This window comes from Homo sapiens, chromosome 5 (genome assembly GCF_000001405.40).
Source record: "Homo sapiens chromosome 5, GRCh38.p14 Primary Assembly".
NCBI classification, from domain to species: Eukaryota; Metazoa; Chordata; class Mammalia; order Primates; family Hominidae; genus Homo; species Homo sapiens.
The window spans coordinates 181,235,841-181,261,145 of NC_000005.10; the positions used below are offsets into that span (position 1 = coordinate 181,235,841).

Genomic DNA, 25,305 nt, shown 5'->3' on the forward strand with positions numbered 1-25,305 from the left:
CTCAGGATTTCTTCCTTTGCCGCCCCTGCAGTGAGAAGCCACACAACTGAACTGGTTAGTTGCAGTTAAAGGCATGCTTTGCACCTGTTACCAGGCAGGCTCCTATTTCAACAGGGATGTGGACCCTGCTCCCCATTTTAATATCTTAACCTAACTTACTAACTGTTCAGTCTACTTAGAGATGTTTGCCACACGTAGTTGAAACTGAAGCCAGAAATGCCTCATCACCATTATAAATTGAGGGGAGTAGGAAGTGGAGGGTGCATGTGGGCCTTCAATATGCTGTAGTTGCTTAGCACAGAAAATTGCAAGGGTAGTGGGGTCTCAGCCGCATGTTGAACCATTCCATCCCTGTACTGAGGTTTCTATTGGAAACTGTAATTGTAGTTTAATGGCTCACTTCTGGCCTTTCACAAGGCATCTATCCTCATGAATAAACTGTGTTTGTGTGTAGGGGGATTGAGGGCCAGGTTATAGTAGCAGTTGAAATGTTTAGTAGGGCCAACTTTATGGTTCTATTTATGAATGCTTCCAGACCAACCACCCCAAAACTTTTGACCTGAGGAATAAATTAGTTTTGAATTAAGTTCTTCTGGTGAGAACTGCCTTGCTTAAAGAATTAAAAACCCTTGACTTTCCTCAAAGACCATGTTGACAGAGACTGCTAACATGAAGCTTAAGTTTTCTGAATTATGTTCAAATCTTTAGAGGAATGAGGATTCATCTTCCACTCTTACGTGTCAGGGGTTGGACCTGCGGAGTCTGCTTTTTCTAAAAATTGACTGCAACCACTTTGAAATCAGTTCTTTCCCTCAAGAAGGTTCCCCAGGTTGAAGGTAGGCCCTGATGATCTGCACGTGGTATGTAGGACGCTGATGGGGTTTAAGTTCAGGGAAACTGCTATGTGACTTCTCACAAACATCCCACCTGATGCTACCCCAATCCTGAGAACTTAGACGGACAGCTCCCCTTCAAAGCCTTGTTTACTTAGTCCATACCTTGCATCCAGTTCGCTAGTGCAAACTTAATGTGTAAGCAATGTAGATAGAATGGAGCTTTTTTGCATATAAGAAAAAAAAACCTAAAAGTCAGAAAAGCCAGTTTTTTTTTTATTTGTAAAGCTCTGCCATAAACTTCTAGCGTGTGCCAATGGTCACCTGCCACACTCGCACCAGGTTGTCCGTGTAGCCAGCAAACAGAGTCTGCAGGGAAGAAATGACAGTGACAGGTCAGGCTGGCATAAATTCTGCAGTCTCACTAGATTCAGCCCAAGTGGCTTTTTTTGAGATCCGTCCACCTTGCTCCATTGTCTAGGCTGGAGTGCAGGGGTGCGATCCTGGCTCACTACAGCCTTAAGCCCCTGCAGTTCAAGAGATCCTCCCACCTCAGCCTCCAGTAGGCATGTGCCACAACGCCGGGTAGACTGTAAGAAACCGCTCTCATTTCAACAGCCAGCTTGTAAGTGGTGGTTATGTATTCCTTGAGGAAGAAACAGCTGGTGATAAGGCTCCAGACATTTGAAAACTGGTCAGATTAATTAAGGTATTAATTGAAGGCTGACAGCCACTGCGTTCCACATCAGTCTTCCCTCTGATGCAGAAACACATTCACTGGCATGGCAAACGAGGGCATCCTCATCAACCTGGCTTGTCATTTCACTTTATGCCAAGGACACTGCTCTTGTGTCTGACAGACTAGATATACTAACAGAATGAGAGGGAGAAAATTAACTGGAAGCAGAATCACCTGAGAGGACAGACCCACTTACCTGGCCATCAGCAGACCAGGCCAGGGAGGTGCACTGGGGTGGTTCTGCCTTGCTGCTGGTACTGATAACTTCTTGCTTCAGTTCATCTACAATGATCTTTCCCTCTAAATCCTGGGGAACAGGGCAAAAGCAACCTTAAGACTTACCAATCAAGAGAGTCTCCTCTTAAAAGCCCCTCAAGATTCTCAAGTTAAAAAGGGATGATTTTGCTCCCTGGGGTCCATGTATCAATGCCTACATGCATTTTCAGTTGCCACTAGTGGAAGGATGGTTTGCTACTGACATCTAGTAGAAGCTGGAAATGCTGCTAAACATCCTGGAATGTACAGGACTGCACACCACAACAGAGTTACTCAGACCAAAATGTCATTACGTGGAGGCTGAGAAAGCTTAGCTCCCAGGTGGGAGTCAGATGGCATATATAATAACCAAAACATTGCCAGGGCTCAGAGTGCAGCCAGGTACCCAGTCAATTGTAACCCACACTCACCCAGATCTTGATGCTGGGGCCTGTGGCAGCACACAGCCAGTAGCGGTTAGGGCTGAAGCACAGGGCGTTGATGATGTCCCCACCATCTAGCGTGTAAAGGTGTTTGCCTTCGTTGAGATCCCATAACATGGCCTGGCCATCCTGGACACAGGTAAGGTAAATCAGGACACTGTGACCTCTTCCAGATGTTAATTCTGCCCATCTCAAGATTCTGTCAGAATCAATTCTTACCTTTCCTCCATTACCCCAGGCTTCTTTGAAAGCTAATGACTCAAGTACCAATATTTATCTCTGTATACCTTTCCTTTAACGTAAGACCTTACCAACCCCATCAAAAAACCCCTCCCAACTTACATAAATCACTCCAATCATTTCTGAAAACCAGGATCCCAATCTCATCAACTGCTTCAAGAAACCAACTTTAGGCTGGGTGCGGTGGCTCATGCCTGTAATCCCAGCACTTTGGGAAGCCGAGGTGGGCGGATCACCTGAGGTCAGGAGTTCAAGACCAGCCTGGCCAACATGGTAAAATCCTCTCTACTAACATACAAAAATTACCCAGGAGTGATGGCGGGTGCCTGTAATCCTAGCTACTCGGGAGGCTGAGATGGGAGAATTGCTTGAACCCGGGAGATGGTTGCAGTGAGCCGAGATCGCGCCACTGCACTCCAGCCTTGGCAGCCGAGTGAGACTCCGTCTCAAAAAAAAAACAAAAAACAAACAAACAAAAAAACAACAAAAAAAACCCACAGGCTTATAGAAAATCATCTTTTTCTTCCAGATAGTATGCCTTAACTGTCATTTGCTGAAAGTAATCTTTGGAAACATATTCTCAGATTGCCATTATCTCATTATCCTCCTAAAACCATCTTGGCTAATGTTTGCCATTTTACGTTAGAGACGCTGGCTAAGTGCTCCTTCCATGACGCTGTCTTCCACTGAGTAGGAGACGCCTTGTCCCCAAATACCTTGCCTCCAGAAGCACAGAGGGATCCATCTGGAGAGACAGTCACCGTGTTCAGATAGCCTGTGTGGCCAATGTGGTTGGTCTTCAGCTTGCAGTTAGCCAGGTTCCATACCTGCATAGACGTGCGGTTGACAGGTGAACATCCTAGCTCTTGATGAGCTAGGGTCAGGCCCAACAAAAAAGGGCTTGGCACTTCTGGATACGGTAGCCATTTCTCATTCAGTAACATGTCCTGGCCACTTCACGTTAGATTATAACACATATCCAATGCAGTGTGCTGACTTACAAGGGACATCAGACCATGTGACAAGAGAAAGAGTCAACTGAGGGCATCTGCAAAGCTTTCCACAGGACTTGGAGTGTATGACCACCTGGGAGCACACCCTGACTGGTAAAGCCCCTGCCTTGGCTTGACGCTCACCTTGACCAGCTTGTCCCAGCCACAGGAGACGATGATAGGGTTGCTGCTGTTGGGCGAGAAGCGGACACAAGACACCCACTCTGAGTGGCTCTCATCCTACAGAAGATGGAAAGGAAATTAGGGCAAACAGTCCTATCCCATGAAATGCTAGACCTCCCAGCCCTACCCCTCAGTAGGATGATGGCTGGCAGCACCTTTCAAAAACCAAGAACCCAAACCTTTAAGCTCAATAGAATCCCTTTAGATTCCAGACAAGAAAATTTTTTAAAAATTTAGAGATGGTGGCTGGACGCAGAAGCTCACGCCTCTAATCCCAGGGAGGGCGAGGTAAGTGGATCACCTGAGGTCAGGAGTTTGAGACCAGCCTGGCCAAAATGGTGAAACCCTGTCTCTACCAAAAATACAAAAATTAACCAGGTGTGGCGGCGGGTGCCTGTAATCCCAGCTACTGGGGAGGCTCAGGCAGGAACACTGCTTAAACCCAGGAAGCGAAGGGTGCAATGAGCCAAGATTGTGCCATTGCACTCCAGCCTGGGCAACGAACAAGTGAAACTTCATCTCCAAAAAAAATATAATAATAATAATAGGGCCTGGTGTGGTGGCTCACGCCTGTAATCCCAGCACTTTAGGAAGCCAAGGTGGATGGATCATGAGGTCAGGAGATCAAGACCATCTTGGCTAACATGGTGAAACCCTGTCTCTACTAAAAATACAAAAAATTAGCCAGACCTGATGGCAGGCGCCTGTAGTCCCAGCGACTCGGGAGGCTGAGGCAGGAGAATGGCGTGAACCCGGGAAGCAGAGCTTGCAGTGAGCCGAGATCGCACTACTGCACTCCAGCCTGGGCGACAGAATGAGACTGTCTCAAAACAAAACAAAATAGTAGTGATAAGGCCGGGCACGGTGACTCACGCCTGTTATCACAGCAGTTTGGGAGGCTGAGGCGGGCGGATCACCTGAGGTCAGGAGTTTGAGACCAGCCTGGCCAACATGGTGAAACCCCATCTCTACTAAAAATACAAAAATTAGCTGGGCATGATGGCACACGCCTGTAATCTTCTCAGACACCCAACCATCGGCTTCTGAGCTGCGGCAACTCCCTTTCACCTTTTCACCGCCCCCCACCCATCCCCAAATCCCCGATCCAGCCCCCAATCTGCGATCCCAAATCTGCGATCTAGCCCAGAATCCATCTCAAAAAAGAAAAAAAATAAATAAAATTTTGTTTAAATAGATGGGGTCTCACTATGTTGGCCAGGCTGCTCTCCTGTCCTCAAGCAGTCCTCCCACCTTGGCCTACCAGAGAGCTAGGATTACAGGCGTGAGCCCAGCCCAGACAAGACTTTAAAAAGGCAAAGAAAGCGGGGGACGGTGGCTCACGCTTATAATCCCAGCACTTTGGGAGGCTGAGGCGGGCAGATCACCTGAGGTTGGGAGTTCAAGACCAGCCTGACCAACATGGAGAAACCCTGTCTCTACTAAAAATACAAAACCGGGCATGGTGGCGCATGCCTCTAATCCCAGCTACTTGGGAGGCTGAGGCAGGAGAACTGCTTGAACCCAGGAGGCGGAGGTTGTGGTCAGCCGAGATCACGCCATTGTACTTCAGCCTGGGGAACAAGCGAAACTGTCTCCGAGAAAAAAAAAAAAAAAGGCAAAGATAGGCAGGTGGGGGCTCACGCCTGTAATCCCAACACTTTGGGAGGGCGAGGCAGGCAAATCGCCTGAGCCCAGGAGTTTGAGACCACCCTGGGCAACATGGTGAAACCCTGTCTCTACTAAAACACAAAAAATTAGCTAGGCGTGGTGGCTGCGCACCTGTAGTACCAGCTACTCGGGAGACTGAGGCACCAGAATCCCTTGAGCCCGGGAGGCAGAGGTTGCAGTGAGCCGAGACTGCGCCACTGCACTCCAGCTTGGGCAAGAGTGAGACTGTCGCCAAAAAAAAAAAAAAAAAGCAAAGTTTAAGAGGGTGGAAGAGATCCTTGGAGATGGCTCACTTTACCTGGACAGTGTATTTGCACACACCCAGGGTATTCCATAGCTTGATGGTTTTATCTCGAGATCCAGAGACAATCTGCCGGTTGTCAGAGGAGAAGGCCACACTCAGCACATCCTTGGTATGGCCCACAAATCGCCTCGTGGTGGTGCCCCTGAGAGGGAGGAGTTTGTCATTCTCAGACTTAGCAAACACTCTCATTCAACGGTCAGACTCATTTCCTGGGCTTTGTCTCTGTCTCATTGCATCACTCATACAACCCTGGATTTGGCTCTGATCACAGAGTCAAGTGACTGAGTATATGAAAGAGAAGAGCCAAGTGACAGAGAATCCCTTCAGAATTGCAGGACATGTCCTCACTCCCACTTGGGGATTGGCTGACAATGCCATCTGTCATCACCAGGACCCTCTAATTCCACCTGCCAATTACCTGAGCTTTCAAGGTAAAACATGTTCAAACTGCTGCCCACTCAGAACTTTTGCACCTGGCAAAAATGTTCAGCCACACTCCTCAGCAATGCTGAGTAACTTATTTAAAGTGAGGGAGGCCAAACATCTTCTGTAGGTGTGCTCTGCTTTCCAGTTCCCAAATGGACTGGATCTCCCCTGGGAAACCAGCCAATTGCATCCACCTCACTTCTGCCCAGATTCTTCCCAAGGCCCCAGAGCTAAGTGAGCAGCTACTTGCGTTGTGAGATCCCAGAGGCGCAGGGTTCCATCCCAGGAGCCTGAGAGGGCAAACTGGCCATCTGAGGAGATAACCACATCACTAACAAAGTGGGAGTGACCCCGCAGAGCACGCTGTGGAATTCCATAGTTGGTCTCATCCCTGGTCAGTTTCCACATGATGATGGTCTTATCTAAAGGAGGTAAAACAGAAGAAAAATCAGTGAGGAACCCGCAGCCCGTTTAACACACTGGATAATTCACTAAGTGTCAAGGTCATGAGTGGGTTAACAACAACTAAGGACGCTTAAGGAGGGATGGAAACAACAGACAAGAGCAGTTACAGACCAGGACTGAGTGGCTCTATTCCAGACTAAAAACGCACGTAGAGGTAAACTGTACCCTGATAACTTTTTTTTTTCTTGAGATGGAGTCTCGCTCTGTCGCCCAGGCTGGAGTGCAGTGGCATGATCTCGGCTCACTCCAAACTCCACCTCCCGTGTTCAAGCAATTCTCCCGCCTCAGCCTCCCAAGTAGCTGGGATTACTTGGCCAGCTGGCACCTGCCAGCACGTCTGGCTAATTTTTTAACTAGAGATGCGGTTTCACCATTGGCCAGGCTAGTCTCTAACTCCTGATCTCAAGTGATCCACTCGCCTCTGCCTTCCAAAGTGCTGGGATTATAGGCGTGAGCCACCGCGCCCAGCCTGTATCCTGAGAACTTAATTTAGGTGCCAGAAATACAGACACCCTTTCCTGAAACTCAGACGAACTCAACAGCCACTTTGTGTCTTCTCTGCAACCAAATGCACAGCAGTTTGTGGCTGTAGAGTAGCTGGGGCCTCCTATGCCTACCTCTGAGGGCCGACAGAAATGTAGTAATGAATGCTGGAAAAGCCACTTCAGGCGCTACAGGATTGGATGCTTTTACTGAAACCTGTCCCACTCAACAAATTTTACGATTAACAGCCAGACATGATTCAAAAGTCAGACAATTCTTAACAGTGTAGCAGCAAAGCGGAAGCACAAGAAGCGTCTAAACGCAGTCAGGAACACAGGGATAGGGACGGGGAGAACCAGGGGCAGAAAAAGTAGGCCGACACTTGAGCCACGAGGTCCTCTGGAGTCCACCTGCCTCCCCACGAGCCTTGGGCCGGGCGGCAGCTCAGAAACAGCCTCTGGATTTCAGCACCGACACTCAGATGGCATGTTGGGGTCATCACCGCCCCGCCCGGCCCGTAGGCCCCCGGCCACACTACGAAGGAGAAGGCAAAAGATATTTTAAAAGTTTCCAACTCTCCAACCCTCCTAGCAGCTGCGAGCTGATGTACACGTAGGTTCTCATCTGCAATGTGGTTCGCCCGGGTTGAGGCCTAGGCTCGGGTCCGCACGCCCCAATTCACAATGGGGCAGAGAAGTCTGTCAGTCCCCGCCAACTCGCGCGCCACCGGCCTGCCACACCACACGCGGAATTCCCTACACGACACGCGGAATCCCCCAGCCCTGCAATCTCGGGTCCTGAAATCTACCTTAGTCCGTACCTCGAGAGGCGGAGAGGATCATGTCCGGGAACTGCGGGGTAGTAGCGATCTGGGTTACCCAGCCGTTGTGGCCCTTGAGGGTGCCACGAAGGGTCATCTGCTCAGTCATGGCGGCGGCGAGAGCGTGTGTCGCTGCAGCGACGAGGATGGCACTGGATGGCTTAGAGAAACTAGCACCACAACCTCTCCTGCCGCCGCCTTGCAGTGAAAGAGAGAGAGAAAAGCCCCCCGCCGGAACCGGAAATACCCGCTCGACCATGCAAAATGGCGAGCCCCATGATACATTTCTGCTCAAGATGGCGGCGCCATGTAATGCAAAAGGCAGAGGGAAATTGCAAGGCATCACAGTCCCGTCTTCCGTACAACAAAATCTGACTGCACTTTACAAATACACTCTGAAACAAGCACATTCAAGTGTTTAAAAAGGCTTCTCAGGGATGATGTAGAGCGAGAAGCGAAAGAGGTGAAGTGTACGGCACATTCCCATGAGGACCGCCGGGCTGCTTCCCCGCCCCTATGTGGCATAGCTCGAGCTCCGCCTGTTCCACTTGGTGCGGGGAGGGTTGACGGGGCAACCCCAGGGGAGCTTAATTTTCATTTCACTATCGTGGGTAACGATGGGCAATTTAAAAAGTAGAGTATTAAAATGTTAAAAATAAACTTTAAAACTGTGCTTCCGGAGGGTGTTCTCCCCTCACGAGGTTTTTGTTCTGATGCACACCAACTCCGGAAGGACTTAGTCCAGGCTGGACTAAGGCAGGAGAGGGTTACTCTGGATGAACTAAGAATTGGTCTCTTTTTCCCGGGCGCGGTGGCTCATGCCTGTAATCCTACCACTTTGAGAGGCCGAGGCGGGTGGATCACTTAAGGTCAGGAGTTCAAGACTAGCCTGGCCAACATGATGCAACCTCTTTCCAAATAAATAAATAAAAAAAATTAAAATTAGCCAGGCGTGGTGGGGGGTGCCTGTAATCCCAGTTACTCGGGAGGCTGAGGCAGGAGAATCCCTTGAACCTGAGAGGCGGAGGTTGCAGTGAACCGAGATCGCGCCACTGCACTCCAGCCTGGGCAGCAGAGCGAGACTCCGACTCAAATAAATAAATACATACATACAATAAAATAATAAAGTAAAAATTGCCCTGTGTGTTGCTAGACTGCCAATCCGTTCCTGCCTAGGCCAGAACACGGGAAGCTCTCGCAGAAACGGAAATGCCCAAAGGAGGACCTTAAGGTTCTGACTTCTGGGGACATCTAGTGGAAAGCTCTCTCTGGGCCCAGCCAGCGTACACAAAAGCCCAGGGGTCTGGGGGTCCAACTGTGCCCTGAAGGACGTGCCCAGACAGGGAAGCGGTGGAACACGGATACCTAACTGTCCTTCTGCCTTCCGCTCGACCGCAGGAATTTAAATAAGTAATGGCTCCCATTCTCACCCATCTCTGACTATAAGAGACAGTGTTGGCACCATGTCTATTCAAGTAGTTTTAAACAGGGGCACAGATCAGGATGATAGCAGCCACCAACATCTATGCAAAATAAAGGGGGCATTATACCTAAGTATATACTTTTCTATTTGTGACATCTATCAACTTTCGTTTCTCATCTGTGAAATGAGATTGGAAATAATATTAGTATCTACATTACATGGTGGTGTGGAAAGTGAAGAAGCAAATGTAAAGCGCCCTGAACAAGGCAGAGTAAATGTTGTGAAACTTAGCACCTCTTGGGTGCCAGGCCTTATTTTAGGTCTTGGGGACACAGCTGTGAACAAGACAGAGGGGGGACCCTGGTTTGTTTTATTTGCAGTTTACTTCCTACGGTATGCGAAGAGGGGAGAACATTGGAACAGAGACACGGAGAGAGCCCTGCGGGTATATGGGAGAATAATGTTCCTGTGGAGGGAAGTCAAATGGGGGAAAAATATTTCAATCGGAGGGAAGAGTTAGTGCCAACGTACTGAGCTGGAGTGTGGAGGGGCTGAGGACAGAGCAGGGAAATGGAGGGTGCAGTTAACCTAGGGCCTTGAAGGCCTGGAGAAGAACCTTGGCAATGTCTGCTAGAAAGCCTGCGTAAAGGCAGAAGACAGGCGAGGGAGGGTGGCAGAGCTGCCGGAGGCTGTAGACGCCCAGGTGTGCAGGGAAGGCCAGGATCCCTCCCTGAAACAGCTTGCTCTCCTGGTCCTCTGCAGGTTCCCCTGCCTTCCGCCGCAGTCTCCCTTGGGCTTTCCGGGACGTTGTCCTGGCTGTGGTCCTCCGCAGCCTGTGGACCATCCTAAGGCTCCAGGTTTGTATACATCACCTGCCTCCTTGGCACCCCCAGCTGACTGTTCTTTCGCTTTTCCAATACGGGACTCAATCCCTACCCAGGTGATTGTGGTGGTCGTGGAAGACCGCTGCCTTCACCCTCCCGCTAACCAGCTTGCTGCCCCCCACTCGGGTCATGCCAGCGCCTCCCTGAGCCCTCGGGCACAAATAGGTGAACGACCACACCCGCCTCCCGCTGTGGACTGAGATTCGCGGTGCGAGGGGTTCCCGGGTTGAGGACCTAAAACGCCGAGGAGTTCCAATTTGTCCTCGAGAACACGGGGTTTCTCCATTCGCGGCCGTCAACAGCACTAGATCACAGTTACATTTTTTTTCCTTTCGCGAAACCTCATTCGGTTCTCTTTTTCTTAAACGTTCCACAGGGAGTCCAGGTCCCCACCCACGCCCAAGGGAAAGGCCTTGCCGCGCCGCGGGTCACTGTCCCGGAAGCGGGAGGTTGCCACGTCCGGCCCCACCCTGCCCCGCCCCCTTTCCCGCTCCGCTCCGGGGCCGCCCTCTTTCCCTGCCTCGCGACACCCAGACCGAGACCTCGGGAATGCTCCGGCCCCCTGCCGCCGTCTCCCGGCCCGGTTCTCTTTCACTAAAAATAGGCGATTCTGGCAGCGCCCCTCCTATGGGGCCTTGGGGGCAATTGGGGTTTTGTCTTAGAGCCCGTGTGGACCCGGATGGCGACGGCAGCCCGAGGAGAGGGAGGGCTGACTGTATGGTTGGCTTTCCGACGACCAGACCCTGCAGGATTCGGCCTTTCCCTTTGGAGTTTTCCTCCATCCCCCTCCGTCCCTCCCAGGGGATGCCCGCAGGCCACAGTGGTCACTGAAGGTCAACCCTGAGCCGAAGGAGAAGTGGCCTCGACCCTGGGGACCCCTTCAGGTGCAGCTTGAGGGGGAACGGCCGCCTTTCCCGTTGGGCACCCAGCTGTGGCTGTGCCCTGTCCTCGCCCAGCTCCCGGCATAGGCATGCGCTCTGGGCCGGGGCCGGGGCCCCCCGCCTCCCCGGGAGGAATCGCTGGGTTGACTCTGGGTCAGCAAAGGGAGCCCGGCCCTTTCTAGCGGGGGGACGTCCTGCAGCCGCTGGAGGAGGCTGAGTCACGCTTTTCCCACCAGAAGTCTACCTGTGCCTGCGCCCGCCGGACCTGCCGGCCTCTTCCTTCTCATCCAGGGGGCCTCTTCTCCAGCCTCACGGAGGTGGGAAGCTTGCTGGAGGCCCCTACCTGCCTTTTGGGGAAGACCCCGAGGCTGGCCCACGCCCTGCTGGCAGGACCCTTCCTGACTGGGTCCACCGTTCTTCTGGGTCTCACCACTTCTCCCAGCCCCTGGGCTGCTTCCTCTCTCCCGTGTCTGGGACCCCAGAGGCACCACTTCCATTCCATACAAGGTAAGAGTCCCAAGGAGAGGCCGGGCACGGTGGCTCACGCCTGTAATCCCAGCACTTTGGGAGGCCGAGGCGGGCGGATCACGAGGTCAGGAGATCGAGACCATCCTGGCTAACACGGTGAAACCCCGTCTCTACTAAAAATACAAAAAATTAGGGCGTGGTGGCGGGCGCCTGTAGTCCCAGCTACTCGGGAGGCTGAGGCAGGAGAATGGCGTGAACCCGGGAGGCGGAGCTTGCAGTGAGCCGAGATGGCGCCACTGCACTCCAGCCTGGGCGACAGAGAGAGACTCCGTCTCAAAAAAAAAAAAAAAAAAGTCCCAAGGAGAAATTGGAGAGGCTCTCCTATGAAAATCCATCTCACCATTCCTTTTCTGAGGAGTCCACAGGACCTGTACAGTTGGAACCAGCCCCTCAGGCTTCCCTGCCAGAGCCCTTTTCTCCAGGAGCAGAGGCATCCATCCCCTCCTGCCAGCATTCCAGACCCTGGAGGGCTTGCGCGGTGGCAGGTTTTCCCTTGAATGCTGAGGCGAGGCTGAGGGAAAGGTGCGTGGCCAGGACCAGAGGGCCTGCTGACTGCCAGCTAAAACTCTGTGCAGGAGGCTTTCCCACGTACTTTACGTACTTTAAGATGATGAGCAAAATCCTTACTGTCTCCCTGCAAAATCCGTGTGGCTTCCTCTGGCGTGTCCCATACTCTTGTGTTTGTGGCCAGACTGGGCCTCCGCTCTTCCTCCAAACTCATTAGTTCTCTCCCACACAGAACACACATTGTTCTGCCTGGAAGGCCCATCACATCCCTCCCCAACCCTCTCGGTTCAATCTAAGCTTTCTTGGGGTCTCAGCTTAGGTTGCCTGTTCAGGGAAGCCTCTGGGACCCTCAGGTCTAGGTCACATTTGTTTCATGCTTTCACAGCGGTGGTGTAGTGTATACTGGTTCTTCTTATCCCTCAGGTGTCTCCTCACAAGGACTGCTCTGTTTCTGCTAAGTGTTGCATTCTCACCACCCAGTGGAGGCTTTGGCCTGTGGAAGATTCTAATTTTGGTGGCCAGCCTCATGGGTTGAAAAGTAAAGGTCAAGTAGTTAAAGGAAGGGCGTTCCAGGCAGAGGGATCAGCGTAGGTGCAGAGGTAAGGTAGGGATAGCTTTGAGGGCTCCTTAGGAGGGAGTGAAACCCCTGAGGGTCAAGGAGCCCTAGTTTGGAAGGCCTTGCTACTAAGGGATCTGGATTTTGTCCTGAAGCCTAGAGTAGTTTCTTTAAGAGTCTGATCTCGGCCAGGCCTAGAGTAGTTTCTTTAAGAGTCTGATCTCGGCCAGGCCTAGAGTAGTTTCTTTAAGAGTCTGATCTCGGCCAGGCGCAGTGGCTCACGCCTGTAATCCCAGTACTTCGGAAGGCCAAGGCAGGCAGATCACGAGGTCAGGAGTTCCAGACCATCCTGGCTAACACGGTGAAACCCGTCTCTACTAAAAATACAAAAAATTAGCTGGGCCTGGTGGCACGTGCCTGTAGTCCCAGCTACTCGGGAGGCTGAGGCAGGAGAATTGCTTGAACCGGGGAGGTGGAGGTTGTAGTGAGCAGAGATCATGCCACTGCACTGCAGCCTGGGTGATAAGAGTGAGACTCCATCTCAACAACAACAAAAAAAGTCTGATCTCAGCACTGTCCTGCCTAGACTGCTTCTTTTTTTAGGACAAGTTTTTATTGCTACCTGCTAAAAACGCACTTATTGTCACGGTGCAGGCTAGGTTGGAGGAGTAAAACTAGAGACAAGAAGAGTTAAGAAGCCACTGCAGTATTCAAGACAAATGAGTCAAGCCAAAGGCTGAGATGCTGTACAGGAAGGTCTCTAGGGGGACCCTAAATTTAGCTGGGGGTGGTGGTGCAAGATTCCTACGAAGTGGCACTAAAGGAGGGACTGAGTACTTACTAAAGACCTTATGACTAAGAGGTCTCTCTCATCCCTACACTACTTCCTTCACTCCAGTGTCTAGAATTGGCCTCTGTATATAGGAGCTCTTTGGTTGAGCATGGTTCACACCTGTAATCCCAGCAGTTTGGGAGGCTGAGGTGGGAGGATCACTTGAACTCAGGTGTTCAAGACCAACACAGTGAGACCCCATCGCTATAAAATTTTTAAAAATTTTAGCCAGGCATGGTGGTGCACGCTTGTAGTCCCAGCTACTTAGGAGGCTGATGCAGGAGGATCGCTTGAGCCCAGAAGTTGGAGGCCGCAGTGAGCTATGATCACATCACTACACTCCAGCCTGGGTGACAGGGTAAGATCCTGTCTCAAAAAGAAAAAAAAAAAATTAAGCACAAAAAGTTTGGAGACCAGGAAACAGGAGTACAAGTATAGGTGCTGTCCCACTCTTAGTGAGGTCGGCTGTGAAATTAAATCAGTTCCTGGAACAAATCTTACAAAGAGATCAGAGATCACTTGCAGTTTTTTTTTTTTTTTTTTTTTGAGACAGCGTCTCACTCTGTCACCCAGGCTGGAGTGCAGTGGTGCCATTTTGGCTCACAGCACCCTTCGCCTCCTGGGTTCAGACAATTCTCCCACCTCAGTCTCCCGAGTAGCTGGGACTACATGCCTGGCTAATTTTTGTCTTTTTTGGTAGAGACAGGGTGTCACCATGTTGGCCAGCCTGGTCATTAACTTTTTAAAAAAATGTTTATTTTCCTGATAAAGATTCAGCATAAATTTTAGGCAGAAGTCTGACGTCTAGCAGTCCCCCAGAAAGCATTCTGTTGTCTGTTGGGGCTTCCTTGGGAGATGGACTGTGGGCTAGGCCTGGGTGCTTTGGCAGATACAGAGTCAGAGGCTGTGGAAAGGGGATGGTCCAGACAGGACTATAATAAATGCAGGGATGGCCGGGCGCGGTGGTTCATGCCTGTAATTCCAGCACTTTGGGAGGCCAAGGCAGGTGGGTCACTTGAGGTCAGGAGTTCAAGACCAGCCTGACCAGCATGGCAAAACCCTGTCTCTCCTAAAAATACAAAAATTAGCTGGGCGTGGTGGTGCATGCTTGTAATCCCAGCTACTTGGGAGGCTGAGGCAGGAGAATCACTTGAACCCAGGAGGCAGAGGTTGCAGTGAGCCGAGATTGCGTCACCGCACTCCAGCCTGGGCAACAGAGGGAGACTGCATCTCAAAAAAAGAAAAAAAAAAAGAAATGCAGGGAGAAGTCAAGCTTCTAGCCTCCTTGTCAAAGGATTTAAAGTAGCATTAGATGGTAGAGAGAAACAAAAGATGACCCAAGTTTCATTTTCTCAGCTTTCTACTGGAGAGAGGACGTCATATAAACCAGAGTGCGAAAAAGGTCAGAATGGAACCCTGGGGCTGGCTAGCTCAAATTTGTATGAGGGATGAAGGGCAGTCCTCTCTGCTCACACTAAGGCTAAATGGCCAGGGCCTGCGGAGAAATCACATCCTTTGCTGTAGGAGTAGAAGGGATTCCATGTGCCTAAGAAATGTCAGAGAAAAAGGGGATGTGAGCTCCATGGATCCTCTCCAGGCCACCTGGATCCCTCCTTATCTTTGTAGGACTCTGCTTACTGCCAGCTGGAATTGTCAACCAAAGGGCTCTAAGTTGGGATCTCGGTCCCTTAAGATGAGGGGAGATGGCTGGGCGTGGTGGCTCCTGCCTATAATCCCAGCACTTTGGGAGGCCGAGGTGGACAGATCACCTGAGGTCAGGAGTTCGAGACCAGCCTGGCCAACAATTAAAATTACATTTTAATTTTTTTAAATATAAAAAAATTAGCTGGGCGTGGTAGCACATGCTTGTAATCCCAGCTACCCTGGAGGCTGAGGCAGGAGAACTGCTTGAACCTGGGAGGTGGAGGTTGCAGTGAGCCGAGGTCGTGTCACTGCACTCCAGAGCCTGGGCGACAAGGGCAAAACTCAAAAAAAAAAAGAAAAAAGATGAGACGAGAAAGCTAGGAAGGCCTAAGCACAAACCTCAGCAGGGGGAATCGCTATAGAGGATAAGCCTCCTTGTTCTTAAAGGCTATTTTTATTTCAGTTGGCTGTTTGGAGCTGTGTAAAAAAAATGGAAAACAACAATAACAACAACAAACAAACAAAAAAACCCTCCAAAGGGCTATTTCTAATTCAAATCCCCGAGGTGTCTATCTTTCCCCTTCCTTTGGGGGAGGGAGGAGGTGAGACAAGTAATAACTTAGAGGAACGTTTCCTTCCATCTTTGCAGGTCTCCTGATAGCAGGAACCTTGCTGCATCTCCTACACTTCTCAAGAGCAGAAATGAGCTCACTGCCCCACACCCAGGATTCTCATACCACACTTGAGGACTCTCTGGTTTGGACAGACTATGATTAAATTTATCACAACTGTTAGTTCTCATGGTCTGGGAGGCCATCTCCTCTCCTCAGACCCTGTTACTCCTAGATCTGTCCTCTCATTAACTCTGTCAGCACAGGCTGCTCTCTCTTCCAGGACTCCAAGAGCTCCTCATCACCCTCATCTGCTGTAACACGGAAAGAACCCACTTACCTGCTTCAATACTAGGTTTTGCCCCCCATCCCATTTTCAAAAAGTCAGGCACAAAGTAAAACCCTATATTTATTATCCCTCCTATTTTGAGGCTCCAGCTCTAGCCCCAGACCTTTTTTGATAGGAGAAGGTAATACAGTTTATTTTCTAACTTGTTTCCCCTAGTTTTCTCCTGTCTCGTCACCCGTGTGATCCACGTGTATCAGAAGTGATAGGTGGCTCAAGATCATTTTGGTCAGATTTTAAAAATAAAATATTTTCTCCTTTTATGTCTAAAAATATTACCTTACAGCCTACCGCTCCCAGCTGGAAAAAGAAAATTGTTTCATTTCTGTTTTTATCCTCCCCCTTGGACTTGCTACTCCCAAGGGCCCCAGGAAGAACTAGACTTTGGTTGTACAGAACTGTGCTGTTAAATAGGATTTGATAGCCACTAGCTACATGTGGCTAATTAAAATTAAATTAAATACTATCTTAAAAATTGAGTTCATGAGGTGCACTAGCCACATTTCAAGAGCTCAAGTCATATGTAGCTAGTAGTATCTACTGTATTAGACAGCAGATACAGAATACTTCCATTGTTACATGAAGTTCTATTAGCTTGAATGTGGAGGACTAGCGTCTTTAGCTTCCTTTCTTATAACCCCATTTTACCAGCCAGCAAATATTTGCAATAACTTCACTGTTACAGGATAATTTTCAGAGGAGTTAGGAATTGGGGGTAGGAAGCAGCATAGAATCTACAAGTCTTATAGGAGTTTCAGGAGGCATGGCATAGAGGCCAGGGGTTGATGGTCAATGGCAAGAGCCTTAGGTTTTAAGAAAGTACTTTAGGGACTGATGTTATATTACCAGGGCCACCTCCACTGTGGACTCAGTGGTTCTGCGTAATACCTGAAAACAAAAAATGACATCCCTACTGCTCTGCTGGAACTGAGTAGCTGAAGTGATTGTTATTACTCAAAATCTCCAGAGCTTGATTTTGTAAACTGTTTATCTGTCACGGTTCTTGTTCTCCCAAATCCAAGTGACATAAGCAGCGGTAATGTTTAGAAAAGGTTTGTTGACTTTGCTACCCCACTCCAAGAGCAGGGAGTAGTGGGTGTCATATCCACTAATCCACTGATACTCAGGGTACTTTTTTTTTTTTTTTTTGAGATGGAGTTTCATTCTTGTTGCCCAGGCTGGAGTGCAATGGTGCGATCTCGGCTCACTGCAACCTCCTCCTCCCAGGTTCAAGTGATTCTCCTGCCTCAGCCTCCTGAGTAGCTGGGATGACAGGCATGCGCCACCATGCCTGGCTAATTTTGTATTTTTAGCAGAGACAGGGTTTCTCCATGTTGGTCAGGCTGGTCTGGAACTCCCGACCTCAGGTGATCTGCCTACCTCGGCCTCCCAAAGTGCTGGGATTACAGGCATGAGCCACCGTGCCTGGCCCTCAGGGTACTTTTAATAAAGTGCTAGCTAGGCAAGCCTATTCTTCCTCTCAAGAGTAGGTGTTCCACTTTTGAACACCTATGCCAGGCACCGGCTATAGTGCCTACAAGAGGATGATATGTGGACATGACCACTTTCCCTGACTACATCAGTGGTTCTCAACTGGGGATGATTTTGCAATGTCTGCTTATGGGACATTTGGTAATGTCTAGAGACATTTGTGGTTGTCACAACTAGTGGAGGGGTACTACCTGCATGTAGTGGGTAGAGTCCAGAGATGCTACTAAGTATCCTATAATGCATAGGACAGCTGCCCACAACAAAGAATTATCTCACTCAAAATGTCAATAGGGTCGAGGTTGAGAAATCCTGGTCTAGGCTGGGTGTGGTGGCTCATGACTGTAATCCCAGCATTTTGGGAGGCCAAGGCAGGAGGATCACTTGAGCCCACCAGGAGTTCAAGACCAGCCTGGGCAATGTAGGGAGATCTCCACAAAAAATAAAAATAAATTAGCTGCACTATAGTCCTTGTTACACAGAAGGCTGACGTGGGAGCATCACTTGAACGTAGGAAGTGAGTGAGCTGTGATTGCACTACTGCACTCCAGTCTGGGCAACAGAGTGAGACCCTGGCTCAAACAAAACAAAAACAAAAGCATTGAAAGAAAGAAAGAGGCCGGGCGCGGTGGCTCACGCCTGTAATCCCAGCACTTTGGGAGGCCGAGGCGGGCAGATCACGGGGTCAGGAGATCGAGACCATCCTGACTAACACGGTGAAACCCTGTCTCTACTAAAAATACAAAAAATTAGCCAGGCTTGGTGGCGGGCGCCTGTAGTCCCAGCTACTCGGCAGGCTGAGGCAGGAGAATGGCATGAATCCAGGAGGCGGAGCTGGCAGTGAGCCGAGATCGTGCCACCACACTCCAGCCTGGGCAACAGAGCGAGACTCTGTCAAACAGAGAGAGAGAGAGAGAAAGAAAAAGAAATCAATCAATCAATCAATCCGGTTTAGATGACAACATGAATCAGGTTTGTTGTTGTTGTTGTTGTTTCCCCCGCAGACAGAGTCTCGCTCTGTCGCCCAGGCTGGAGTGCAGTGACGGCGATTTCGGCTCACTGCAACCTCCGCCTCCCGGGTTCAAGTGATTCTCCTGCCCAGGCCTCCTGAATAGCTGGGACTACAGGTGCACGTCACCATGCCTGGCTAATTTTTTGTGTTTTTAGTAGAGACGGGGTTTCACTGTGTTAGCCAGGATGGTCTCGATCTCCTGACCTCGTGATCCACCCGCCTTGGCCTCCCAAAGTGCTGGGATTACAGGCGTGAGCCACCGCGCCCGGCCTGTATCAGGTCTTTATGCCAAAATGAATCATGCAGTCTAGGCTCAGTAGGATAGTAAGGCTGTTAAATGTCTGATAAATTGGGAAGGAAAAAATATGGAGTCAGTGAAACAGTGGGCTCCCTAAAGCTGAAGGGCAGGTGTAATTGGAGTGTGCTTAAGTGTATTGGAAGGCTAAGAGCTAAGGTCATAGTGCAATGGGAGTTGATTTCAGATGTGTAGCCAATCTGAAGATGAGATCCAGGGTACAGCCACAGAAGTAGAGGAACAAGTTTAAACAGTCTGACTTGTGATACAGCAGTGAACAGCTGAACCTAATAGGGAAGACATTCAATAAACAGGTGAGCTGTATGTTTTTCCTCAATGTTTTTGTAACCCACACTTCTACTTTTCATATACCTGAAAATCTCACATTTGCCCCTCCATTTACAATTTCAAAATTAAGTATCATGATTGAAATTAATGAAAGCAGTAGTAATTTTAGAAGGAAAAAATTTATTCAGATGATGTGATAGCCATGTCACTGTTAAGCCTGAACTTTTCTTTCCTGGGTGGTGTGAAAGGTGCAAGAAAACACAAGCTGCTTTTAATAACACTCTTGCACTGCTTTCTCCCCAAAGCTAGATATATCAAAACATTAAAAAATAAAAAAGCTTTTTAAGGTGTAAGGAGCAAATGGAATAGTGGATAAAGCCTTTTCATCTGTTTAGTCATTTTACACCCAAGTTTCTCTGGAGTATTTGCCTGGAAGTTTCTAATCAAAACCATTAGACTTTGAGTTTCACAAACTCCTCTTGAAGCTCTTCCAGTGAGGCCTGCACATCGGTATGAAACACATTCTTTCCAAAAGCTACCACTGGTAGATTTTAAGAACAAGCTCAGGAGCACATCACTCAAAATAATTCCAAGTATTTCACTTTTTCCCTTCAAATAACACTCATGAATCTGGTCCTTGAAAGACTAGCCAAGAAAATTAGACATTTTTAGCATTAGTTTGCTCATACATACATTTGCTATATTTTTATGGTTGTATTTTTGGCAAGTTTTGTTTGATGTATTTCATAATGAACGGCGAAATTGGTGTTTGCCCATTGACATTTCAGTGTCAATGTATTTTAAGCTTCAGTGTGTTAAAACTCTGTTGAAAATTTTAACTTTTGAAATGTTCAAGTATAGATTATTTTTCATTGTTCTTCCAACCTTGGGGTTGTTCTGTCCACAAGTTCAGCAGAATCCGTTTTTCTTTGGCAACCAAGAAACTTCAATATGTAACAGAAAACATGGAATGGCATTTAGATCTTCAAAAAGCAGGGCAAACTGGAATGGAATGTACTGTTTCTCACAGTGGTCTATGCTGACAGCAAGGCTGAAGATTTCCAGTAGGTTATGGGTAATCAGTGAAAGTTCATGCTTGGTGGTGACAGCTGCAGTACATCTTGAATACCAGTTTTCTTCAATCTTTGCCAAAAACCCAAATTTAACACAGTTTGCTGTAGTGCCATTAAGATATACTCCTATACAATTTCCTCCAACTCGGTTCATTTGATACAGCTGCAAAAATACTGTCTTTGGTGGTCAAGTAGAAGGCTCACGAAAACAGCACACCCACAGTTTTGAAAGCCTTATTCTGAATGTAAGCAAAGTACAGTTTTCTTCATCAGTAGATTCATCTCAACCAACAGCAATAAAAGATGAGCCGATTTTTTTTTTTTTTTGAGATGGAGTCTTGCTCTATTGCCCAGGCTGGAGTGCAGTGGCTCAGTCTCGGCTTACTGCAAGCTCCGCCTCCCAGGTTCATGTCATTCTCCTGCCTCAGCCTCTTGCGAGCTGATGTTTTTTAAGATCTGAAGTTTGATATATACAGTCATTAATTCAGAGTTAAGACTGCAGAAGTAGATGAAGAAATTCTGGAATTCCTTAATTTATTTGTGGCAGCACTCAGAATGCAAGGTTTCACAAGTGTCTCCATTTTTTTCTCCTTTGCAATTAAAAGGGCTGTTTAATATTAAGCTTTCACGGCTTGGAAGATTCCTGTGAATATTTCAATACTGTCCAGTCTTAAAGCTGCAGAGAATCGGGCTTTGCAGAACACTCCACTGTTTTTAATGGCATGAATTTAACAGTGTTTGGCATGGTGTCACTGCCCAACACTTTCAGATAACTCAACTGAAGAAGTTGACCCTATCTTCTGCAAAATAACATGAGTATATACTTGAGAAAAGCCTCAACATTTTTTTTTGGCTGCCATTTTTAGCTACCTCAAAGGAGATAACAGAAAAACAAGGAGTACTGATGATGGAAGCATCTGGTCCCTCTTGCAGAGTGATGAATGATTTTATTGGTGGCAGCTGGGTGGCAGGACAATCCAGGCATCCAGTTATGCCTGATCCCCAATAAGTGAAATCTTTGTTCATTTTCTTTTTATACACCCGTCTGCTTCCTAAAACCTGACACCATTTAATGGTGCCCTTGGTCAAATCTAAATGATCTTACTTTCATAATTCTTTGATTCTAGCTTGCAGAGTCAAGACGAACTCTAACTCATGGGATGGACAAACTGGAAGATGTAAAATAAGTAAGGCTTTCTGGGCCAAAAAGCCTCTTCTTACAGAAAATCAAATTTTAAAAGAACATTGACCTCAAAACAATAAAACTGTCCTGGTTATGCAATAGAAATAGCTATATAAATGGAATCATATCCTTAATGAACACCTCCTGTGGCTACCCAACTTTTCACACATCTTACTGATTATAGGCCTTGCTGTGAATGCTTTCTTGCTCTATCTGAAGTATTCCCACCAGAGTTGTTTCCAACTTTATTTCCTATATTATGAAAAATGAAGTTTTTTTAACATTGTAACAAAGTATATGAAAGATAATGTATACTGTATTAAATAAACCATTATACAAAAATAGTTCCTTGTACTGTTAACTATTATTATGACTTTGGTCAGTAAAATTCTAAATCATGCGACTATAATTTACATGTTTACCAATGGAAGGAAGTGACAATGAACTGCCTAAAGAATGAAAGAGACACCCAGGCATGGTGGCTCACATCTGTAATCCCAGCACTTTGGGAGGCCGAGGCGGGGGGATCAGGAGGTCAAGAGATTGAGACCATCCTGGCCAACATGGTGAAACCCCGTCTACACTAAAAATGCAAAAATTAGCTGGGCATGGTGGTGCGCACCTGTATTCCCAGCTACTTGGGAGGCTGAGGCAGGAAAATCGCTTGAACTCGGGAGGCGTAGGTTGCAGTGAGCCGAGATCGCACCACTGCACTCTAGCCTGATGACAGAGCGAGACTCCAGCTCAAATAAATAAGTAAATAAATAAATAAATAAAAATAAAAAAAGATTTGTGTCTTAACTGTGCACTTAACAATATTTACTATAAAATGGGGGAAGGGGATGATGATAAAAGTTAGCTGAGGAAGGCTGGGCACAGTGGCTCATGCCTGTAATCCCAGCACTTTGGGAGGCCCAGGTGGTGGATCTCCTGAGGTCAGGAGTTCAAGACCAGCCTGGCCAACATGGTGAAACCCCATCTCTACTAAAAATGCAAAATTAGCTGGGCATGGTGGCATGTGCCTGTAATCGCAACTACTAGGGGTGCTGAGGCAGGAGGATCGCTTGAACCCGGGAAACGGAGGTTGCAGTGAGCCGAGATCATGCCATTGCACTTCTGCCTGGGCAACAGAGCAAGATACCGTCTCAAAAAAAAAAGTTAGAAGAGAAATGGAAGGTTCTCTCTTTTCCTCAGCTTCAGTATACTAAAACCCAGAAGCATAGGACATAAGTTTTTTCCATGGGATACTTTAGTTATCACCTTGGGTGAAAACATGGTACTAGGATTTGTCCTTCAAGTCAGGTTAATGTAACAGAGGTAGCAGTGACTTATGGTTAGATTTGTGCCTTAACTGTGCACTTCCCAATATTTGCTATAAAATGGGGGCAGGGGGGTGATAATAATATCTAATACATGAAGCCTGTAGGACAGTGCTCTGTGTTTGTGTTTTGACTGCAACTCAAAGAAAGCAATATATTTTTAGATGAAGTATATACATGTATATATATATAACTTAAAAGTTTCATAAAGCAGTACTTACCCTTACTATGTTCCATGTGTTCTAATATTTTCTCTTACTTCATTTTGAGATAATGCTAGGCATGACCCATTTATTTTAAGACACACTAATTGGTCAAAAAACAATTTGAAAACCACTGCTATAGGAGAACACGAGGAAATATATTTTATAAACTGTAAAGCACTACTAAGACGTGAGCAGCGGCTGCTGCATATCCAGGTCAACCTTTATGGGCCTGAAGACAACCTCTCCTTCGTTTGGGCACTGCTAGGAGTCAAATCTACCTAGACTTTTGGTAAGGAAGATGGTACTCATGCTCATTGTCATTGAGACAATTATCTAATGCTTAGAAGTCAAGACTAGAAAGCAAGGCATTAACCATATCAGCACCCAAACAAGGGAAGACAAGTTACAAGAAAGCCAAATAAAACAGCAAACATTTGTTTAGTGCTTTATGGTTAACATATATGATCTCTTTTAATCCTTACAATCCTAGGGAAAAAGTGAAGCTCAAGGAGGTTGACACCTGCCCAAGACTAGACAGTAAGTGGCAGAGCCAGGTCATCTGATCCTAAATCCCGCACTCCTTCCACTATGATAAAATACCAGGAAAGAAAAGTGATCAGGATATGAGGCACATTCTGATCCATCAAAGATGCTTATATGCTTTGCCTTTCTCTAGAAGGAAAACGGACCCCACTGAAGGTAGAGATGCAATCCCAGACTTTCAGAGGGGGGGTGTGGCCAATTGCTATCAGTAGTTTAGGACTCACATCTGGCATTTCTGTCTACCAATACATCTATTTTGACACTGCTTGTGCTGAGGTCCCAAATGTCTATTATCTCCAAGTACTGTGGCTTTCTATTCCTATCTGTACCTGTCCCAGGGAATTGGTCAAGGACTCACATTAGGGAGAAATGAAGTACTGGGTATCTGTTACTCACGTCCCTTACACTTAGGTAGACTGCCAGTATTAGCAGTAGTGGTCCGCTTCCAGTGACCGTCATATTATCTGTTCAGCTTCCTCTGGGGAAGCCAATCTGCCCCAATCTTCATGGTTTTGTGTCTCCTTTTTTACCCATATGACCATCTCTCTCCACCGTGTCTCCCTCATCAAATAAAGAGAAGTTTAGCAACTAAGTACCTGAGGAGGTGGGAAAGGAATGCTACTCATTCCTCAGCTCTCCTAGTTACCTTTCCACTCCCTTCATCCCCCCACATTCCCTCATTTCTCTCACCTGGTACTCCTGCACCACCTCCTCCAAAGGCAGCACGCTGTGCTGTTTGTGGCTCCTGGATTCTCGGCACACCACACAGATGGCCTCTTTGTCCACCTCACAGAAGAGTTTCAGGGCTTCCTGGTGTTTAAAGCACATGCCCTGATCATTACTCCGGTTTCCCCGATAAGGAGTGGGGCACATCTGGCGAATTATCTGGACCATGTTGGCCAGCTGCAAGTTGGGACGAAAGCTGCGACGTGTAAAGCTCTTTCGGCACTGGGGGCAGGTGAACTGCCCTGGAAGGGGCAAGGAAGGAGGCGGGTGGATGTCAGGATACAGCTCTTCATCTTCGTCCTCATCGTATGCTTCCAGTATTTCTTCTTCTCGGTAGACATCAATTCTCAGGTCAGGTCTCAAGCCTCCTAGGTAATAGTCCTGATCTTCCTCTTCTTCTTCTTCCTCCTCGTCCCACATATAGTCTACGTTGTCCCAATTAGTTATACCACTGTCACCGAGCCAGAGTTCATCGTCATCTTGGTCTTGGAACAACTCTTCGTCAGCATTCCCCCGATACAACACCTCTCGAATGGAGCCGTCCCATCCATCCATGGCCCCCACCGCTTCCTCGTCCTCCTCCTCCTCCCATTCATCTTCCTCCTCGTTCTGGTCCTCCTCGTCCTCCTTACTCCACAGCTGGGTCACACACCCTCGGCAGAAGTTGTGCCCACAGCTGATGGACACGGGGTCCTTGAAGTAATCCAAGCAGATGGCACACACCGCTTCCTCCTGAAGGGTCTGCATGGGGCTGGGAGTAGTGGCATAACCAGCCATCTTAATGCCCGCCGGCAGGTGTAGATACGTCAGCTTGGAGCTGAGGAGCGGGGACGCGCCTGCAGGCCTGCCTCCAAACTACTCTGGTGACCCGAGGCTGTCCTCAACCTTGCTCTTCTTCCTCGGGGCCGCAGGGGAGCTTTGACCCCCTCTCTCAGGGTGCGAACGCCCAGATCCAGACTCACAGCCTCTCTCTGGGATCGGTGGGGACAGAGCAGGCTGCAGCCCCCAGCTGCTCGGTCCTGTCACGTCTCTCGCTACCCTCAGGGTGTGCCCTACACTGCGGCGTCCGCCTCAGATGCAGCCGCTGGCTACCCTGCCCGAGGCGACGC

General features: G+C 48.3%; 2 protein-coding genes, 1 long non-coding RNA gene and 2 other non-coding genes across 10 annotated transcripts, besides 14 other annotated features; 1 reads left to right on the top strand and 4 right to left on the bottom strand.

Annotated features, from left to right (window-relative positions):
- Positions 287-366: an enhancer, noted in NCBI's record as "active region_23788". NCBI's record gives its function as "activates an Ori minimal core promoter by ATAC-STARR-seq in GM12878 lymphoblastoid cells {active_cell/tissue: GM12878}" and the evidence as "EXISTENCE:reporter gene assay evidence [ECO:0000049][PMID:35858748]".
- On the bottom strand, positions 1,057-8,066 carry RACK1 (receptor for activated C kinase 1). The gene is made up of 8 exons (NM_006098.5): positions 7,852-8,066; positions 6,334-6,505; positions 5,652-5,799; positions 3,647-3,742; positions 3,227-3,337; positions 2,259-2,399; positions 1,769-1,879; positions 1,057-1,202 (listed from the first exon to the last, which is right to left on the bottom strand). The coding sequence occupies exons 1-8, from the start codon at positions 7,958-7,960 to the stop codon at positions 1,137-1,139; spliced, it is 954 nt and encodes a 317-aa protein (NP_006089.1). The 5' UTR covers positions 7,961-8,066; the 3' UTR covers positions 1,057-1,136.
- Positions 5,680-5,729: an enhancer, noted in NCBI's record as "active region_23789". NCBI's record gives its function as "activates an Ori minimal core promoter by ATAC-STARR-seq in GM12878 lymphoblastoid cells {active_cell/tissue: GM12878}" and the evidence as "EXISTENCE:reporter gene assay evidence [ECO:0000049][PMID:35858748]".
- On the bottom strand, positions 5,978-6,049 carry SNORD96A (small nucleolar RNA, C/D box 96A). The gene has a single exon (NR_002592.1). It is a non-coding gene; the product is annotated as a small nucleolar RNA, C/D box 96A (small nucleolar RNA).
- On the bottom strand, positions 7,474-7,536 carry SNORD95 (small nucleolar RNA, C/D box 95). The gene has a single exon (NR_002591.1). It is a non-coding gene; the product is annotated as a small nucleolar RNA, C/D box 95 (small nucleolar RNA).
- Positions 7,861-7,920: an enhancer, noted in NCBI's record as "active region_23790". NCBI's record gives its function as "activates an Ori minimal core promoter by ATAC-STARR-seq in GM12878 lymphoblastoid cells {active_cell/tissue: GM12878}" and the evidence as "EXISTENCE:reporter gene assay evidence [ECO:0000049][PMID:35858748]".
- Positions 8,021-8,160: an enhancer, noted in NCBI's record as "active region_23791". NCBI's record gives its function as "activates an Ori minimal core promoter by ATAC-STARR-seq in GM12878 lymphoblastoid cells {active_cell/tissue: GM12878}" and the evidence as "EXISTENCE:reporter gene assay evidence [ECO:0000049][PMID:35858748]".
- Positions 8,241-8,310: an enhancer, noted in NCBI's record as "active region_23792". NCBI's record gives its function as "activates an Ori minimal core promoter by ATAC-STARR-seq in GM12878 lymphoblastoid cells {active_cell/tissue: GM12878}" and the evidence as "EXISTENCE:reporter gene assay evidence [ECO:0000049][PMID:35858748]".
- Positions 9,636-10,564: an enhancer, noted in NCBI's record as "NANOG-H3K27ac-H3K4me1 hESC enhancer chr5:180672476-180673404 (GRCh37/hg19 assembly coordinates)". NCBI's record gives its function as "activates a minimal SCP1, AML or CMV promoter by ChIP-STARR-seq in primed H9 embryonic stem cells {active_cell/tissue: H9 hESC(primed)}" and the evidence as "EXISTENCE:reporter gene assay evidence [ECO:0000049][PMID:30033119]".
- Positions 9,784-9,833: an enhancer, noted in NCBI's record as "active region_23793". NCBI's record gives its function as "activates an Ori minimal core promoter by ATAC-STARR-seq in GM12878 lymphoblastoid cells {active_cell/tissue: GM12878}" and the evidence as "EXISTENCE:reporter gene assay evidence [ECO:0000049][PMID:35858748]".
- Positions 10,565-11,491: an enhancer, noted in NCBI's record as "NANOG-H3K27ac-H3K4me1 hESC enhancer chr5:180673405-180674331 (GRCh37/hg19 assembly coordinates)". NCBI's record gives its function as "activates a minimal SCP1, AML or CMV promoter by ChIP-STARR-seq in naive and primed H9 embryonic stem cells {active_cell/tissue: H9 hESC(naive and primed)}" and the evidence as "EXISTENCE:reporter gene assay evidence [ECO:0000049][PMID:30033119]".
- Positions 10,644-10,723: a silencer, noted in NCBI's record as "silent region_16795". NCBI's record gives its function as "represses an Ori minimal core promoter by ATAC-STARR-seq in GM12878 lymphoblastoid cells {active_cell/tissue: GM12878}" and the evidence as "EXISTENCE:reporter gene assay evidence [ECO:0000049][PMID:35858748]".
- Positions 10,701-21,746, top strand: CTC-338M12.4 (uncharacterized LOC101928649). The gene is made up of 3 exons (NR_109909.1): positions 10,701-11,042; positions 11,276-11,546; positions 21,347-21,746. It is a non-coding gene; the product is annotated as an uncharacterized LOC101928649 (long non-coding RNA).
- Positions 10,824-10,903: a silencer, noted in NCBI's record as "silent region_16796". NCBI's record gives its function as "represses an Ori minimal core promoter by ATAC-STARR-seq in GM12878 lymphoblastoid cells {active_cell/tissue: GM12878}" and the evidence as "EXISTENCE:reporter gene assay evidence [ECO:0000049][PMID:35858748]".
- Positions 11,134-11,233: a silencer, noted in NCBI's record as "silent region_16797". NCBI's record gives its function as "represses an Ori minimal core promoter by ATAC-STARR-seq in GM12878 lymphoblastoid cells {active_cell/tissue: GM12878}" and the evidence as "EXISTENCE:reporter gene assay evidence [ECO:0000049][PMID:35858748]".
- Positions 11,492-12,419: an enhancer, noted in NCBI's record as "H3K27ac hESC enhancer chr5:180674332-180675259 (GRCh37/hg19 assembly coordinates)". NCBI's record gives its function as "activates a minimal SCP1, AML or CMV promoter by ChIP-STARR-seq in naive H9 embryonic stem cells {active_cell/tissue: H9 hESC(naive)}" and the evidence as "EXISTENCE:reporter gene assay evidence [ECO:0000049][PMID:30033119]".
- Positions 13,222-25,303, bottom strand: TRIM52 (tripartite motif containing 52). Of its 6 annotated transcripts, none has more exons than XM_017009991.3 (2): positions 24,161-25,303; positions 13,222-18,442 (listed from the first exon to the last, which is right to left on the bottom strand). In XM_017009991.3, the coding sequence occupies exons 1-2, from the start codon at positions 24,971-24,973 to the stop codon at positions 18,260-18,262; spliced, it is 996 nt and encodes a 331-aa protein (XP_016865480.1). In that variant the 5' UTR covers positions 24,974-25,303; the 3' UTR covers positions 13,222-18,259. The 6 variants fall into 6 exon arrangements, with proteins under 6 accessions (XP_016865480.1, NP_001332978.1, NP_001332977.1 ...); NM_001346049.2 differs by lacking the exon at positions 13,222-18,442 and adding an exon at positions 19,307-20,675; NM_001346048.2 differs by lacking the exon at positions 13,222-18,442 and adding an exon at positions 19,307-21,019.
- Positions 25,004-25,053: an enhancer, noted in NCBI's record as "active region_23794". NCBI's record gives its function as "activates an Ori minimal core promoter by ATAC-STARR-seq in GM12878 lymphoblastoid cells {active_cell/tissue: GM12878}" and the evidence as "EXISTENCE:reporter gene assay evidence [ECO:0000049][PMID:35858748]".
- Positions 25,234-25,283: an enhancer, noted in NCBI's record as "active region_23795". NCBI's record gives its function as "activates an Ori minimal core promoter by ATAC-STARR-seq in GM12878 lymphoblastoid cells {active_cell/tissue: GM12878}" and the evidence as "EXISTENCE:reporter gene assay evidence [ECO:0000049][PMID:35858748]".